This window comes from Homo sapiens, chromosome 17, assembly GCF_000001405.40.
Source record: "Homo sapiens chromosome 17, GRCh38.p14 Primary Assembly".
Taxonomy (NCBI): Eukaryota; Metazoa; Chordata; class Mammalia; order Primates; family Hominidae; genus Homo; species Homo sapiens.
The window spans coordinates 71,186,426-71,205,667 of NC_000017.11; the positions used below are offsets into that span (position 1 = coordinate 71,186,426).

At 36.3% G+C, this 19,242-nt stretch overlaps 1 long non-coding RNA gene across 1 annotated transcript in view; it reads right to left on the reverse strand.

Annotated features, from left to right (window-relative positions):
- Window positions 1-15,754, reverse strand: part of CASC17 (cancer susceptibility 17) — a 104,406-nt gene extending 88,652 nt beyond the window's left edge. The window contains exon 1 of the long non-coding RNA NR_104152.1: window positions 15,679-15,754. This is a non-coding gene — a long non-coding RNA (cancer susceptibility 17). The remainder of the gene's footprint in view (window positions 1-15,678) is intronic.
- Between the last annotated feature and the right edge of the window lie 3,488 nt (window positions 15,755-19,242).

Sequence of the window (19,242 nt, forward strand, 5' to 3'; positions counted from 1 at the left end):
AGAGAGAGAGAGAGAAAGAGGGTTTTCAGACTTTGTTTTTAGATTTAACATTTTTTAATAAATGTAGATTGAGTACAATACTGAATAAGTAAGGTTAATGAGAAGAAGAAAGATGACAAAAGTCTGTCATTTAGGAGCATTAATCTGGCAAGGGAATCAGGATATTGTAGACAAAATTGGTAGAGCAATGAAATTAGCATTTTCTTCTCACTATCACCCTTACACAAGATGTTAAAAAAACAGAGTGGGGAAGGAGTCAAAAGGGAGACAGAGAGTCATTCAAGAGCAAACTTAATGGGTTTGTGGGACTTTCTGTAAGTCAGGAGCAAGAAACAAGTCAAAGATAATTCTGAGGTCTCTGGAGAAAAAAATATTAATAAACATTGGGATAGGTGAAATGAAGAGAAATCCACTTTCGCATTTGTGGAGTTTAAAGCTATGAAAATCTTTGAAGCTTTGAGTGTGAGAAAAATAACCTAGAGGGGCCGCTCATCTTTTAAAGTATGTTGGTAAAATGGTGACTGAGTCTAGCAAAAATCATGCACAATTCTTGAAGAGATAAGATTTGGTTTATGTGTTAGTCAGAGTTCTCTAGAGGGACAGAACTAATAGGATAGATGTATATCTAAAGGGGAGTGTATTAAGGAGTATTGACTCAGACGATCACAAGGTGAGGTCCCACAATAGGTCATCCGCAAGCTGAGGACCAAGGAAGACAGCCTGAGTCCCAAAACCCCAAAAGTAGGGAAGCTGACAGTGCAGCCTTCAGTCTGTGGTTGAAGGTCCAAGAGTCCCTTGGACCAAGTTGAAGAACTTGGAGTCAAATGTTCAAGGGCAGGAAGCATCCAGCACGGGATAAAAACGGAGGCCGGAAGGCTAAGCCAGTCTAGTCCTTCCACGCTCCTCTGCCTGCTTGTATCCTCGCAGCACTGGCAGCTGATTAGATGGTGCCCACCCTGACTGATGAGGGTGGGTCTGCGTTTCCCAGTCCGCTGACTCAAATGTTAATCTTTTTTGACAACACCCTCACAAACACACCCAGGAACAATACTTTGCATCCTTCAGTCCAATCAAGTTGATACAATATTAACCATCACAGATTAAAAGGAAGAAATTGAAGCCTTTTCATTCCAATAATAGACTTTTGGTGCTAGACTGTGTGATAAGAAAGCAGATAACAGAGATGACAGCTGAGAACAAGTTAAACTCCAAGAGCACCTAAATGAATCACATCTACAGGTCAAGGTATGTGTAAGTGTGAGTATGCATGTGTGACGTATAGTTGCCAAAGGGCCAGAGGAATCTTGAAAATGAGTTGACTTTTATGGACTATTAATACTTTTATGACTTTTATTGCTATTAACATGGTACTGATTTTGGTTAAGATTACTGGGTACTTGCTGAAGCCCAGAAGATATTTTCCATAGACAATTTTGATTAATTATCAAAAGAATCTTATGCAGGTACAACTTTCCCTTTATGAAATGATTTTATTAAGGTATAATGTATATACCTAAACATTTACCCATTTTAAATGTACGACTTAATGATTTTAGCAAATTTACTGCACTGTGTACAACCATCAGCATAATATATGGTTTTAGAACATTTTCATCACCCTGGTAAGATCATGCATGACCTTTATAATCAAGGTACATCCTCACTTCCAGCTCCAAGCAACCAATAACCTACTTTCTTTCTCTATACATTTTCAGCACGTACTATGTTATGCCCATTTTGCATCTGAGTAAATTTGACTTCGTTGTTCACCTAGTTCTGAATTAAATTTCCCTTATTAGCAAGCAGTATAGGAAACAGAATGTCTTTGAAAATCATGATAAAATTACAACAACAACAACAGCATGAAGTATATGATTCCAGAAACCTAATGTCTACAGCATGGGAGATATTTCTTGTGGTAAGTTAGTGTTTTCCATGTTCAAAAGAAATAAACCAAGAACTAAAAGATTGATGTGCCAGCCTACGAAGATGGATCCTATATGACATTGAGGGGGAATAAAAAGGCTTGGTACCAGTAAGAAAATAAGTGAGGTTTCACTGTTGGCTGAGCCTTTAGACACCACCAGCCTGGCTAGGTGAGTTTGTGGAAAACTGTCTTTGGTGGTCTCTGGGTGAAACCCTGATAGGCAATTGCATTTCAGAGACAGTCAGCATGGTCAGCTAGGGATTTGGATTTGTCCCACAGTTTGAAAGGGGGGCAGAAATTGACCACATGGAAATTGGCGTTCAGAGAAATTGCATCTGGAAGGCAAACTTTCCAGGCTGCTGAAGGCTTAAAATGTCAAATTGTTTGAAAAACAAACACCGTGACATAAGAGGTATATGCAATGAAATCTTCAAGATGTTCCCAGCAGAGCAGCATACAGTAGTTGGCTCAATGAACCTATACTCCAACCCCCAATACTGGCCTAATAACCAAAATAAGAAGTAGAAATGTTAACTGTGAGATTTAAGAATAGGATTTGAAAAACCAACCGCACAGGCTAGATTTGCCCTCAGCTCTTATCCACACAATAATTACTGGATGTTCTCTGTTAGGCTCAATCTTTTTGCAAATGACTCAGCCTCCTGCACCTGGTAAGTGTGCATTCCTAAACTCTGAAAGAGTCTACATATTCTATATAAATTGAAGATTAAGCCTCATGGATAATACAAAAATAGGGTTCAGGCAGAAGTGAAGAAATCTGTTCAAAATTACCTTGGGAAGGGACTATTCCTCAACGAGCTGATAATCCAGCCTGTAAAGTAGCAATTGGACATTCAAGATACAAATCAAGCTTGCAAGAAGAATGAGATAGCAAATCTTCAGGGAATTTAAAAAACACAGTCATAATCAGACTGTGTAAAGTATAAAAGTGAATACTTATTCACTCAGAAGATATTTGTGGTTCACTGGTAGGCCACTTGGAGTTTCTATTGTGGTTTCTTTATTCTCTCTCATCCTTAAAAAATGTGATGAGTGTAATAAGCTTTACATCCATTTTCAAGGCCCAGTGCAAAAGAAGTCTACCCAGTTCTTATCTGGCAAGTGTCCCTTCTGCTTCTGAAAATTTCTTTCACCACTTAACCCATTGCCTAGTGTATTAGTCTATTCTCACGCTGCTAAATACAAAGAAATATCTGAGACTGGGTAATTTAGAAAGAAGAGAGGATTAATTGGCTCATGGTTCTGCAGGCTGTACAGGAAGTATAGTGGTTTCTGCTTCTGGGGCATCCCAGGAAACTTACAAACATGGCAGAAGGCAAAGGGAAAGCAGGTATCTTACATGGCCGGGGAAGGAGGAAGAGAGAGGGGGGAAGTGCCTCACACTTTTAAACAATCAGATCTCATGAGAACTCACTCACTCACCGTCATAAGAACGGCACTGAGGGGATGGTGCTAAACCATTCATGAAGGGTCCACCCCCATGATACAATCACCTTCTACCAGGCCCCACCTCTAACATAGGGGATTACGATTGAACATGGGATTTGGGTGGGGACACGGATCTAAACCATATCACTTCATGTTCCATTACCTTCTCCAGTCACCTATGTTATCATTCTGGTATCAAGCCCATCAGGCATCAAATTGCTTTTCATTTTCACTCTTTCTCACTTTTGTTTTATGTTTAATAAATGATTGTTCAAAACCAAAGCATGAGAAATATGAGCATCGACACTTATAGAACATCATTTGTGTTAGGCATCTTAGTTTTTTATTTTTCTCATTGTTGTAAAGAAGGCAAAGAGATAAAGAGACGTAGTCATAGAGAGAAACTTAATTGGCACTACTGTAGGCTCAGCATCTATTTTTTCCTATGCTTTAAACAATAACATCTGCCAGCGTATAATAAGACTATCAAGAAAAAGCATTTTGGAAATACTTAAAAAAAACCCATGTTAATCAGTCTTCCTTTTCCTAAGGCAATTGTTCCAATTTTAGTTTTTTTCTTAAAAAAAAAAAATTTTTTGTTTTTAATCACATGGGTAAACTCTGATTATTGAAGGAGGGAGGTAGAAAGCCCAGATAGAGAAGAGTAAAATTTACCCATATTTTCACTACCTAGGATAATGGAAAAATACTCCTAACATTTTGGTTTATATCCTTTCAGAAACATGTGTATGCACATAAACACTCAAACACACATGCACACATATAGGCATTTCATTAGTTTTCCTGCATAACACACCATCCCAAAATTTTATGGCTTAAAATAATAGCAATTATTTATTTAGCTTGCTTTTCCATAGGTCAGAAATTTAGGCTGGACTCACTTGAGAGATTTTTCTACTGCTATGAAGTTAGGTGGCACCATTTCTGGGGACTGTTTAGAGGTGGCTGGTCCATAAGTGTCTCATTCTCCATTAGGCTTGTCCAGCTTCATTCTCATGGTGGCAGTAGCAGGGTTCCCAGGAGAAGCAAGAAGGCAAGTTCCAACGTACAAGCTCTTTTCAAGCCTCTGATTGTGTCCCTGGTGCCAACAGTCTATTGGAAAACCCATTCACTTGGGCAACCCAGATTCAAGGAATAGAGAAACAGATTCCAATATTTGATAGAAGGACGCACATTGGAAGAATTTGTGGCCAGTTTTGTAGTCACTCATAATTCTACCACCAGGAAATGTGATACTATAAACATTTTGGTTATTTTTTTTTCAAAAATACTCAAACCTATGCTAAATTAAAATGTGATTTAAGTGCATTCCCATATCTATGCATGTTGCTCTACCTCACTGTTTTAAATAGCTGCAGAGTGTTGCTCTATTTAACTGTACTATGATTTATTTGACATATCTCCAGCAATTCAACTTTAAAACATTTCCAATTTTTCACTATCAGGTTGTCATAAACATCTTTGCACATTCATCTTTCCAGGATTATTTTTATATATATCCCCTCGGCTAGGTTATTATCATCAACTTTCCAAACCCCTCAAAACTGCAGCCTCTGTTCGCAAAGCGACATGGAGAAAAAGACAGTGGAAAGGCTAGAAAGAAAGACCAGACTAAAACGTTGACTGCTTATGACAATTTGTCGCCAATACTAAGAAAAATTAAATGTGAAAAGTAAAATTAAATATTAAAAGAACCACAAAAATTATCATGAGAACACCATTTGCTTACAAAACTAAATTGTAAATGTATTCTCAACTTATTCACTCTTACTGTACTTAATATCCTACTTCAAATGTGCAATACAGGATCATTTTTTTACTTCTTCTGATAGCATCATTCCAAGTGGCTAGGATATTTCCTTCAGCAACATCTTGGTCTCTTCTTCGTATTGATAGAACAGAGCTGTTGGATTTTCTGCATATCCTGAATCAGACGCCTCCCATTCATCTCTGGTCCATAACCAGGCTCTTCTGCCTTCACTGCCTTTGCCGTCTAACTCTGGAGCACAAATGAGATGATTCCACCAAGGTTGGTTTCACTGGCAATGATAATCTGGGTGTCATGGCCCAGCTTTCCCGCCAGCTTTTGGGCCTTCTCCAATTCACTAAATACTTCCTCATAATTTTCTTCCAATTCAAGAATAAGGGGGAAAACTATAGCACTTGATCTGCACCTGTGTGTTGTGGGTACCCGATAAGCAAAACAGGGGAAGAAATTAAATAAACACCTTATTATAGTCAAGTTGAACTAGGTCCAAGAAGATGTCTGAAAGCTTTTGTTTGCCGAAAACCAAGCTCTCAGGCTAATAATGGTGAGTAGGTGTCAAAGGTATAATAAGAAGTAAAGTTCTTTAAAAACAAACTGCAAACACCATAAAATTATATTGTTTTCAACTTCCCTGTTCAGTGGCTTTGTTATGCATGTACATTACAGCAGCCAGTCATGCCCACAAAAGACAAGAGTATTCCAAGCCTGTCATGTGTTTATATATGACGTTCAGAATTAAGGTTACATAAATGAACTTTTTACTCAGTCAGCATAATCAATTAGGTAAATCTGGGAAAGTAGGAAAGTGAAAAGTTTGAAAAATATATTTCATTTCACCAATTTATCTTCATTGTCTAATAGTTGCATTTGCAGAAAAAATTTATTCTTTCATCTTATGTTTTTTTATTTTTATGGCTAATTTTAAGGCTCCAAATTCCTAGTTTGTTTATCTATTTTTGCCTTATTTTTACTAGAGACATGTGGCAAGACAATGCTATCAGGGAGAATTGAATTTGTTCGTTTATAAAGGCTTTCTATATGGAAAGATTAAAGTAAAACTAGAACAAAAGACCTAAAATCCATTTTTGAACTAGGGCTATAAGATTATAGAAATTATCCTCATTTGTTTTGATACAGTGAACAAGTTAGTGGATACAAATAATAAAATATTTACACAATATAGTTATTATTTCTTATGGAAAATGATTGTAAAGACCAGAAAACAACCTTATTCTTTGTGTTCTCATTTACCAGCTTCTCAAAATCTTATGTGGAATCAAATGAAAAGTATCAAAGTCTCCAGCTGGATCCTTAGCATCTATGGTATCTCATTTTCTCCACGGAAACAAGGAAGGGCTCCCCATTCATGGAGAAATACCAGTTTCATTTTAAGCATGACTACTGATGTCCATGGCAAGTCTGCTGACTGAAAAGAAAGTGTTTATTGATTCAACCTTTCCATAACCCTTTACTAAAGTAAACATGTCTGAGACAACTAAGCAAAACATCAAATTTCACTCAACTACCATGTGGCCTTCTTTACTTAAAAAACTTGGCATGGGCCACTACTCCAGCCAGGGTCCCAGGAGCACAGAGGACCTGCCTTTTAAATGGTACAATAATATCCACCACCACCGATTTTCACTCCCATCACTATGGGCACCCATCTCTACTGCCTTCCCAATATCTTTGGTTAATTACTGGTGCCTAAAATGTTAGTAATGTCCTCATTATAATACAGGTTAATATGGGGCATTTTCATCTCATTTTAAGTTGATATAAACATCTTTTCTTGGAAGATGAGAGAACAAGTCTGCACAGTTTCAACACTTTTGAAAAATCTTACCTTGTTGATAATTGTGCAGTCTTGCATTTATTATTACTTCCAGATTTGATCCAAAATAAGAATCTTAGGGTGGCAATGCCATAATCCCTAACTGCGCATCATCTTCTTCTATACTGAAACCTGGATTTTACCCAACATGGAGAAATTAATAAAATACCCTCACATTCTGTGATATAACTTTCATAATATATCCATCATCACCGGAGGGAGAAAATGGTTAAAGACATGTGTATACAAGAGATACAATTCTGCATATATTTATATTTATACTTATTTATTCATTCAACAAATATTTATTGGCCATCTACTATGTACGAAGCACCATACTAGGCACTAAAAACAATGATACAGAATACACATTTTCTTTGGGAACTTTTCCAAGGGATATGAAAAAGTATGGATAACATACCCAGGCTAGTGAAATATAAGAAATGTTTTAGTCAATTTTATTGTTTTGCCTAGTACCCCATTCAGGAAGTTTTCTCCCAAAGGTCCAGCTCATTGGAAAGTAAATAATGGTATCTTGCCCCCTCATCAACCCATCAGTGTCAAGTTGAGTAATAAATATTGACCATTCAACCCAAGATGGTCTAAGTTAAATATCAAACTGCCAAAAATGGTAGTTAAGAATATATATTCTGAAATATGTCTGCCTAGGTTAGAATTCAGGTTCTTCCTCTCGTTATGTGCATTATGTGACTTAATTATTGAATAATTAAGTTATTCAATTTCTCTATGCCTCAATGTTGTCATCTGTGAATTTACGTGATAATAGAACTAGTGGTTTATTGTTGGGATTAATGAGAGAATACATTTTAAGTTTAGAAAAAGGGAATGGGCCATACTAAAAAAAAAAAAACATTAATTATTGCTATTACAGTTGAGTCCTGTTGGCACAAGAACTGGGAAGATATAAAGGAGCTAAAGTGATATTCTTTCTCCTCCATCTACGAGAATAGAGAAAAGTGATGGAGGGGGTAATCAGAAAAAGAGAGAGAGAGACAGACAGACAGAAACATACACACAGACACACACACACACACACACACACACACACACACACACACACACACAGAGTTAGAGAGAGTCAGTAATCACAGAGATAGAGATGAAGAGAAGAGTTTCTATCAGTATGTCAATTAGAGTCCAAGAAGGAAACAGATGCCACACTCACATACAGCTAATTTAAGGAGGGCTTAGTTAGCAGGATAAGTGGAAGGAGTAGTAGCTGTAATGAGAAATGCAAGATTCTAATAATTCATCATATGAAACTGCATAGGGATCAGGAAAATAGGTCTGTGGTTAAGGGAAGTAATCAACTGACAGGAACCTACAGAAGGGTGCCAAATATTGCACTCTCACTCTCCTCGTTATCACTAATCTGCCAAGCCTCTCCTTTGGCTGAATCTAACGAGAACCCAGAAGGCACGAAAGCCATGTGACGGCATTCATATAGATTATGCTCTAGGGGCAGACAGCTGCGAGAAGAGGAGGAAAGAGTAGACCTGGAGGACCAAAGGAAGATATCCTGCACGGAGCCCCAACTGGGCATAGGGAAGGAGCATCTACCATTTGGAAGGCTTCTTCCAGTTCTGGTGCTTCCTGTCTTGGGTTATACGAAATACCCTTGCATGTTTCCACATTTCCTCTTTAGCCTAAGATATAATGAGTGCTTTCTCTTATTTGTAACAAAGCTAATTTTGATTTAAGCAGAAAAGTTCTGGCAACTTCAAAATATGAGTAGTAAGTCTCTGGCTGTAAAGTCAGAGGAGGAGGAGGGGCATCCACACTGTCTTATTCAGCCATGGTTCTTTCTGATGAAGCAATGCCAGGAGCACACATACAGCAATTTTTTTTTTATTCAACACAATGGTTAGGCTGTGGTCTCTGTTTAGTTATATAATGTATTTGGAGAGAAACATTTCATGCATTTTGGATCATGTGTTTATTATTTTGGAATAAAGAAACATCCAATGCCATTTGTTCCACTTTAATCCCTGAACCCCACCATTGTGGTAAAGACTGCCCCTACTTTTGAAATCTAGGATTAAAATTTGCTGTTGCTAATTTCTGGGGGAATATTTGGACTTCCCAGACCCAAGCCATTAGGAAATGGAGACAATTGATCAAAAGGTAAGACGTGGTAAGAGATCAAGTTTAAAACTGGTAGAAGCAGTATTAGAAGTGATTGTTATGGCTCAATAAGGCTGTGAAAATAAATGATGAGCGGCAACAGTGGGATCCATAATTACATAATGAAGGGAATTGGAGTAAAAGAATCACTCCTAGAGATGATGAATACATGGAAAGGAGCAAGTTTCAATTTATTGATGATACAGTTTCTAGTAGAGCATACATTTAAGCTGAGAATGAAAGGAAATCAGATGTGGAATTAAGATGGCAAAATATACTTGTTTAGGCAGGTTTATGCTAAGCTTCAACATTGTATACTTTTAAAAAAATAACTTTTATTTTCTGTTTGTGGGTACATATGCAGGTTTGTTATATAGGTAAACTGTGTGTTTGGGTGTTTGGTGTAAAGATTACACAGGTGATAAGCATGGTACTCTATAGGTAGTTTTTGATTCTCTCTCTTCTCCCACCCTCCACCCTCAAGTAGGCCCTGGTGGCTGTTGGTCCCCTCTTTGTGTCCATGTGGTTTTGTTGTTTCATTCCCACTTATAAGGGAGAACATGTGGTATTTGATTTTCTGTTCCAGAGTTAGTTTGCTTTGGATTATGGCCTCAAGCTCCATTCATGTTGCTGCAAAGAACATGATCTCATTCTTTTTTATGGCTGCATAGCATTCCACGGTGTATATGCCTCACATTTTCTTTATCCAATCTACTACTGATGGGCATTTAGGTTGATTCGGTATCTTTCCTATTGCAAATAATGCTGTGATAAACACACGCATGAATGTCTCTTTGTGGTAGAATGATTTATATTCCTCTGGGTATGTACACAGTAATGAGACTGCTGAGTTGAATGGTAATTCTGTTTTAAGTTCTTTGAGGAACTGACACACTGCTTTCCACAATGGCTGAACTAACTTACATTCCTACCAGCAGTGTCAGGCCACAGTGCGATAAAAATAGAAATCAATACTAAGAAAATCACTCAAACCCATATAATGACATGGAAGTTAAACAACCTGCTCCTGAATGACTATTGGGCAAATAAATTAGGACATAAACCAAGAAATTCTTTGAAATCAATGAAAACAAAGATACAACATATCAGAATCTCTGGGATACACACAAAGCACTGATAAGAGGGACGTTAATAGCACTAAACGTTCAAATTGAAAAGTTAGAAAGATCTCAAATTAACAATCTAACATTGGAACTAGAGGAACTAGAGAAGCAAGAGCAAACCAACCTCAAAGCTAGCAGAAGACAAGAAATAATCCAAATCAAAGCTAAACTAAATTGAGACATGAAAAACCATACAAAAAAATCAATGAATCCAGGAGTTCATTTTTTGAAAATAAGATAGATAGTTAGCTGGACTAATAAAGCAAAAAAAGAGAAAACATCCAAATAAATTTAATTAGAAATCACAAAGGAGACATTACCACTGACCCCACAGGAAAACAAAACAAAACAAAACAAAAAACCATCGGAGACTATTATGAATACCTCTCTGCACACGAACTTTAAAAACCCAGAAGAAAACGATAAATTACTGGACATATAGAACCTCCCGAGATTGAACCTGCAAGAAATTGAATCCCTAAAAAGACCAATAATAAGCTTCAAAATTGAATCAGTAATAAAAAACCTGCCAACCAAAAAAAGCCCAGGACCAGACGGATTCACCGCTGAATTCTGCCACATGTATAAAGAAGAGCTGGTACCATTCCCACTGAAACTATTCCAACAAATTGAGAATGGACTCCTCCCTAACTAATTACATGAGGCCAGCATCATCCTGACACCAAAACCTGGCAAAGACACAACAACAACAACAACAACAAAAAGAAAATTTTTAAATTCAGGCCAATACTCTTGAAGAACACAGATGCAAAAATTCCCAACAAAATACTAGCAAACTTAATCCAGCAGCACATAAAGAAGCTAATCCGCCATGATCAAGTAGGCTTTATCCCTGGAATGCAAGATTGGTTCAATATATACAGATTAATAAATGTGATTCATCACATAAACAAAACTAAAAACAAAAACCACATGATGGTCTCAATAGGTGTAGAAAAGGCTTTCGTATATGTTGTTTAAAGTCAATTTTCTTTGCAAATCTTGTTGCCAGCCTGAAATTTGCATAGTGGGGAAGAGGTTTAAAAGATCCTCCCAATAGGTTTTAGTACACAAGACACTTCTATAGATGTCCAGATACAACATGTGCTAGAAATAGTTTCAGTCAGTTTTCTGAATTTAGAAACTTCTTTCAAGGTTCTAAATCAGGCTTTCATTTAATTGAGAATTGCTAAGGACTTTCTGCCTGGAATGACGGAAATTAAACAACTATGTGACTGCATATCTGTGCATTCATATTAGGGTTTAACTCTCTAAGGAAAAAATCTTAGTTCCCTCACATCCAGATTCTTGGGGGCTTTTCATTGTGCCTACCAAATACTAATAATAATTATAACTGCTGATGCAAAGGTTTCAAGGCAAAAAGACATATCATCATGACCTAGGGCCCCAAATTTTCTATTTTATTTTAGTCACAAAATAAGAGTAGTTAGTGTCGTCTACTTAGATCATTAGTTCTCAAATAAGGGCCTTTTGGCCTCACAAAGGGCATTTGGCCATGTCCGGAAACATCTGTATGGAATAACCCAGCCCAAATAGCCAATAGTGTTGAGAATGAGAAACCCTTCTTTAAATGTACTCTTATAACATGTCCCTGCTTAAACATTCCAATATATACAGTAACACTGCTGGCTTGAGACAGAGATGTGCGTGTTCTATCATTTGCTAAGCCTTCAATGGTTTTCTCTTTTGTTGTTGAAAATGCCTTAAGTATTTGTAATGGGTTTTTTTTTAAATCATATCAGGAGTGTTATTTTTCTCATATTGATATTTCCTTCTGGAGTGAAGTAGTCAGATGATGCTGAGAAAAAAGCTAGTGTCCATGTAAATCAGAAAGTTTTCAGAAGGAAAGAGAAAAACTGCCTGGTATTGAATGAATATTATAGAAACATATAGAGGAGAACATGTCTTTTATTTCTAAACATAGATATACTCAAATAAATACAGAATCCTATAGATATCTGGGTTGAAGCAGGTTATATTCTGAGCATCTTAAATGGTGCAGAATGAAGATTGGGATAAATCATCATTTTTGTCTTGTTACAGATTAAAATGGCCCAGAGCATAATCATTAAGCTTTTGTAGTACAAGGGTCACAATCCTAAGAAGAGCAGTTCAGGAGTACTCATTACTCCCAATACCAACAACTAAGCCATAACAACTGTGTCTTAAATGCTCAACTTCTATTTAATTATCTCTAGAAGAACTGGAGGAGACAAGATCACTGGTGTCTAGGAAGTTCATGTGGTTAAAGACGGTGTCATGACCTCCAGCTAGGTCTCTCTCTTCTCTCCACATTTGCTACTACCTAAATACTGCTTTTTGGGTCTCACTTTCCAATTATGAAGTTATCTGAGCTCATCTCTGACCCCTTTCTGGATTCCCTCTATTCAGTTCATGAGCCCAGAGGAAGTAAGAGCACAACAAACCGGATAAAGTCAAGGTCTAACTAGTGCTAAGCATCACAGAAAGCTGAGTTTATGTATGGCCTCTCACTGCTCTGCTGCTGATAAGCTTTCCTGTTTCATACAGGTGCACAGAGTTATAAACATATTAATATATTCACAGCACACACACACATGCACACACACACATACATACACCTAGTTTTTCTCATATTGAAGCTTTCTTGGGTGAGCACCATACTTGCTAATTATACTCCATGCCCCATCCTCCACAACAAAAAAATTTCCAAAGAAAACAGTTGAAATTTCACCATGACCAGTGTCTGGATGAAGCTGTCTTGAGAATTGTGGAATAAGCAGCTCCCTCGGTGTGGGGGGAAAGAAAGTGATTATGTCGTATGCAAGGTTTTTAAATTGAGAGAGAATTAACTCAGCTTATAATAAATCACTGTTGACACCTTCTGTAAAGACTTCATGCTCTTTAAAGCCAGAGGAAATTTTTAACTGGCCAAGAAGGAAACTCCACAAATATTGGCCATTATTTGCACTTGCAATCTTCATGTGGGAGATTCTGAAGGATTTTTCCTGTATGGTATGAACAAACCCCACAGAGAATAGCTATCTCATTAAGATAAACAAAGATTGATTAATAACTTATTATCATATTTTACAATTGGGACTTTAGAAACTGTGTAATGGCAGGAGGGCCTGTCTTCACCTTTCTTGTTTTTAGCTTATATGTTGGTTTTTCTTGAAAAATTCAAACCAAGTAAAAAGATTCATGGGAGCAAACCTTCCTTCCAAGGTTTGAGGAAGAAAGATTTTTTTCTTTGTATTTTTCTAGTAAGAATCACTCACTAGTCTACCAACTTTGATTAAATTGTATAGCCTTTGCAGGATATTATTTGCTGCCTTATTTATTGTCTCACTTACTCCCCAAAAAGTTTCTGAAGAAATGAAGGTGATTTCTATATTATCTACTTTTAGATAAAGAAACTTTTAGTCCGAGAGGTGAAGGTGATTCAAGGACATCTGGGTGAAAGAAAGCTGAGCCAGTTCTTCATTTGAGCTGCAGTCAAGAGGACAATCTCTACTGGGTAAAAATGCTTTATAAAGATGATGTTTCTTGGTTGGTAGAGTAAAATTTTGCATTTCATTTCCAATAAATAATGCTATTCATTAGAAACTTTTTCAAAACTCTCAAAGTGCTACTAAGCCTCCATTAGAGTATTTTCTCTCTCTCTCTTCCATCATTATCCACATTCTCACTACCTGTACAAAGTGATTCAGTGAAAACTGGATTCAAAAGGATTAGTCTCTGTATTTCCAAAAGAGTTTCAGCCCATCTCTGGATGAGTTTCTAATAAAATTCAGTGAAATATAATTGTATATGCTAGATAGCTTTTGCTTCCCTCCACTCCCAGTATGCTTTCTCTCTTTGTCCTTGACCCTCTATTCTGTGCCCAGAAAGGCTGACCTGTAAGGATTGTAACAGTGGTCCCCTCGACCTCTGGCTTCCAGTGGGTTCAACCAATGGGAGACCTTGACAAGAGATTTGAAGGAGGAAAGAAAGTGGGGTTTAAATATTTATCCCACCAGCTCCCTCCTTGCTGGTGACTCAGATAGCCACTGATGTTATCTGAAGAATCTCTTTATAAAATGTCTTTCTCTTGGTTACAGAAATGACTTCTAACTATTACATCAACTAGCTCCATGGAACTGCAATTTCTCTTGATGGTTTCTCCAAACTCTGCCCACATGTATATAGTCAGTTTTACTATAAATCATTTCAGATAACCCAGATTGGATGAGATTCATTGAGGGCCCTGGCATAAAAGGACAGGAACACTCAGACTGGGCTCCCATCTTTTTGATAGATTCCAAAAATGTGAGCCCAGGACTCTACACACATCTGCGATGTTGAAAAGATCAGTCTGTTGAGAAGGGCTTTAGTAGCTCAAAGTACAACTGCAGTATTAATTTTATTGCCCAAATGATAAAAAAGCAAGTAAATAAAATGACCCTATTCAATAACTTTTTTTTGGCGGGGTTGGGGATAGTAGGAAGGAATTGATTCAGAATCAGGCATAAATTAAATTTATATGAATGAGATTTAAATGATGATTTCAACTTAGTAAAATTTGCTCCAGTGAATAGGCTACTTCAGAGAGTAACAAGAAATAATCAGAATAATTAAAGGTCAGCCTGTAGTAATTGAGTAAATTTGCCTATTTTCACTTGGTATGATATTAATTTGAACTGATTATCATGCCAGGACTTTAATATTTTTATTGAAAGGTCATTTTGGACAAAACAAGCTACAGGATTTTATATATATACATATATGCATATAAATATGTATATGGATATATACATACATGTGTATATTATATGTGCACATAAATATATATGACATAGGAATTCCACTGTTAACTTACTCAATGGTTTCTACTGTACAACTCACAAATGCAAAGTATATCATTCAAATTCTGATTTTATGCTTCTAGCAAACAAATAAGTAAACAAATGAATTATTTTTTAAAAATAGTCCAATGTTAAATAATATATATTTCATGTAGATTTTCCAATTTATAAATAAAATTTATTTCCAGCTAAATGTAGGACTTATGTTGCTCATTGAGTTCTAATTATTATTTTCTCTTGCAACACGCTGTGGCATTTTGGTGAACTATTTTGGCATCAGTAAATTCCTAAGTATAGTCAATAGACTCCTATTAATATAGTAGGGTATTTTTAGCTCAGGCTTTAGCTTTTTAAAACCACAGTGCTTAAAGTGTCCCCTTACAGAAAAAAAAAATTACTATGTTCAAGTATAACCCCATTCATATATATCTACCCAAGTGCTTTCGTCTATGAAATGAGTATTTGACTGATAAATACATACATATTTAATTTTGTAACTTTCCCCACAATAAATTATTTGTATAAAACAGAAAAATTTTTATCTATTGTAATTATTTTCTTACCTCATCTGGAGGGTCTGAGAAGCATTGGCAACAGCACAAATGTGACATGAGTATTTAAAGAAAAGGTGAATTGCCCAGGGCTAAAAAACATACTCCATACATCATGTTTTGAACAGTCATACAATAGATTATGATGTGACTGTGAAGTCACAACAGTGGGCTCCCAAATATGATTTTCTTGGTGGACATTACCCTGTGACACTTTCCTTGTATATGTGTGTGTATGCAAGTGTGTGTATGTCGGTGTGTGTATGTGTATGTGTCTGTTGTTTGCCTGTCTCTCTGCAAAGCATTCTACTCAGGCACAGTAATGAGTAGGACAAGTTCTCCTACAAACGAACTCAATACTGTTCATCAATTAACTCTTGCGCTTCCTTCTAAAACCACTTGTGAAATCAACCATTTTTCCTCTTCTTCAGATTAGGGAATGGGAACAAATGGAGTCAACACATTCATAAGTTATAAGATGATATTTTGAGGCAAGTAAAATTAAAAACAGCAATTCTTGTTGATGGGTATTCAATTCTGACAAGCACAGATTACACAAGTAATGCAAGAGGCATTAGTCACCAATTGTTGCTAATCCGATTTTCATACTTTAGCTTTTTATAATAAAATTGACAGTTGAGTCCTGTGTATTTTACAAAATTGGAGGCTAATTTTCAGGTCATCTCAATGATCCTAAGCAAATCCAATAAATATGGAGTAAAGATGACTCTTTGCACAATGAATTTCATATACTTCACTCAAATTAGAGCCTCCAAGTCCCTCCCTCAAATGTTATATATTTTCACTTTATACTAGATTCTCTTGATGTGTATCATAATAGCAAAGAATTCACTTAGCAAAGAATCCACTTGGAGAACACACACAGAAAATGAAAGACTAAACAAAATTTTAACAGGTCTGTTCGCCACTTAGTTTCTCCTCTTAGGTGCTTTAATTTGTTGCTTCACTCTGTACATTTCTGGCATTTCTGGGAGGATATTAGTAAGTTACTGTTTCAGAACTCATTTGGATCTTTTTCCCCTCCAGAACTCTCTTACCTCTTTAGTGAACACATTTTTAGGCAATTATAAGAAGCTGATTAACCAATCTCAAGACATTTGGAAGAAAATAAGGTAGATCAGTGGGGAAGATCATTAGAGTTAGGAGTAATTATTCCACCAGTTAATAACAGCTGATATCCTGATGACCCTATCATAAGAGAACTAAAATAAACAGCAGTAGTTCATAATGTGTGATGGTTTGGGGACATTTGGGGTAGTAAACAATTCTATGAAGTTCAGTTATGAATTCTTCGCTGGGTTCACGATGACAGAAAAGAATTTCTGTTCATGAAGGGTGACCTTTGCATACCTCCAAAAATGTAAGCAGCAAGGCTGAGTTGGGAGGATCACTTGAGCCCTGAAGTTAAAGACCATCCTGAGAAAGATGGCAAGACCCTATCTCTACAAAAAAATAAAACAAAATATTAACCAGGCATGATGGTATGTGCCTGTGGTCCCAGGTACTCTGCAGGCTGAGATGAAAAGATTGCTTGAGCCCTGGAGTTGAAACTGCAATGACCCGTGTTCACACCATTGCACTCTAAACTGGGCAACAGAGCGAGACTTGTCCAAAAAAAAAAAAAAAAAAAAAAAGTAAGTAATAAAGTAGTTAAAACTGAAAGTTGTAGAGTAAGACTTTAAAAATTACCTAGTATAGTTTCTTCATTTTACAAAGCAGAAAACTGAAATTCTGAGAGACCACTAAGTGAATAACGTACATTCAATCAATTTTTTTAAAGGGAAACTAATTTATCACCTAAAGCTAACATCAAGCCATATCGAATATATTAAAAAATGACACTGCTAAATGATAAACAAGTTTGGTCACTGTTTTAAATGGGATAAATTTTGAAATCTAGAACCAATTATATTTATTATTTACTATAAATCAAAACTTCACCGTTGAAAGATATTGTCAATCTTTCAGATTATAGGAAGTTGTAGAGGACATGCTAATGGGCTTCCCAGATCTTGTTTCAGTGATGAACTGGTTGACTCAGAAGCTGGAATGCTGCTGGCATAGGGTCAGACTCTCAGCAACACCCTGTGTAGCCACATTGGAGCCTAAAGCAAAAGGAAAAATGTCTGCCCCCATATACACTTACCAAAATAGCCTCTCATATTTTAAACTAAGTGAAAAAGATAGACAAAATGAACCCAAATCTTAAGACTGTAAATAGAGTCCTGCATTGCTCAATTTATTTGAACACCACTGTCAACTCTCATAAACCTTCCCAGTGGGGACTCAATACCCAGTGGTTTGGAAATGACTATTGCCATTACAGATCCATCACACAAACAAATGTCTGTCTTTATTTAAAATTTGGATATTTTTTCATCTTGGAATTGTTTGCATTAATTTTGATTTTTAAAAATGTTATTAGGCCAGGTGTGGTGGCCCATGCCTGTAATCCCAGCACTTTGGGAGGCCACTTCAGGATCACTTGAGGTCAGGAGTTCAAGACCAGATCAACCAACAAGGCGAAACCCCATCTCTACTAAAAATACAAAAATTAGCTGGGTATGGCACACGCCTGTAATCCAGCTGCTTGGGAGGCTGAGGCGGGAGAATCGCTTGCGCCCAGGAGGCAGAGGTTGCAGTGAGCCGAGATCATGCACCACTGCACTCCAGCCTGGGTGACAGAGCAAGACTCTGTCTTAAAAAAAAAAAAAAATATATATATATATATATATATATGAATATATAAAAATATGAATATATAAATATATTAATATATATAAATATATGAATATATATAAATATGAATATATATGAATATATAAAAATGTATGAATATTTAAAGGATATATATGTGTGTATATATATATTTTTAGACTATATATGCTGCACACTAAACCCCACCTTTACGACACTTCCCAGGGAACCCTGCCTGTGACAAATATGCAGTTAAATTAGCTAATATTTATTGAGCATATACTAGGTTCACTGCATGTTGATATTTTTATTTTACTCTCACATCAACCAGTAAGGTAGGCACTATTTCTATTAAAATCAGTTGTATACAAGATAGCACACTTTAAATGAATAAAGTAATAATAAACCCATATGTAACCAGCATGCTGTGTTGTAACACAAGGTAACTGAATTTTCTTTCTTTCCTCACTGGCCTAAATATTACAAAGATACTTAACCCGAAGATGAAGGCATATATATGTGGTCCAGAACACATCTTAAGAAGAACAGAAAAGGATTTTATACATTTTAGGGTTTCAATTGAAAGTATCCTGAAATCTAAATAAAATTCACCAAAAGAGATAACCTTCAGCTATTTAGAAAGCTTATTATTTTCCTTTCATTCCCTTGTGATCCTGTGGATGAATGAGGTTTTAATATCATTTTATAAATGTGAATGATACTGGTTAAAAATTTAAGTTCCTCATAATCTCAACATTTTTACTTGTTCTGAAATAGAATGCCATTAAAGACTATAATACTACATGGGTACCACCTATTACTACTGTATATAAACATATGAATACATATGTTTGTCAA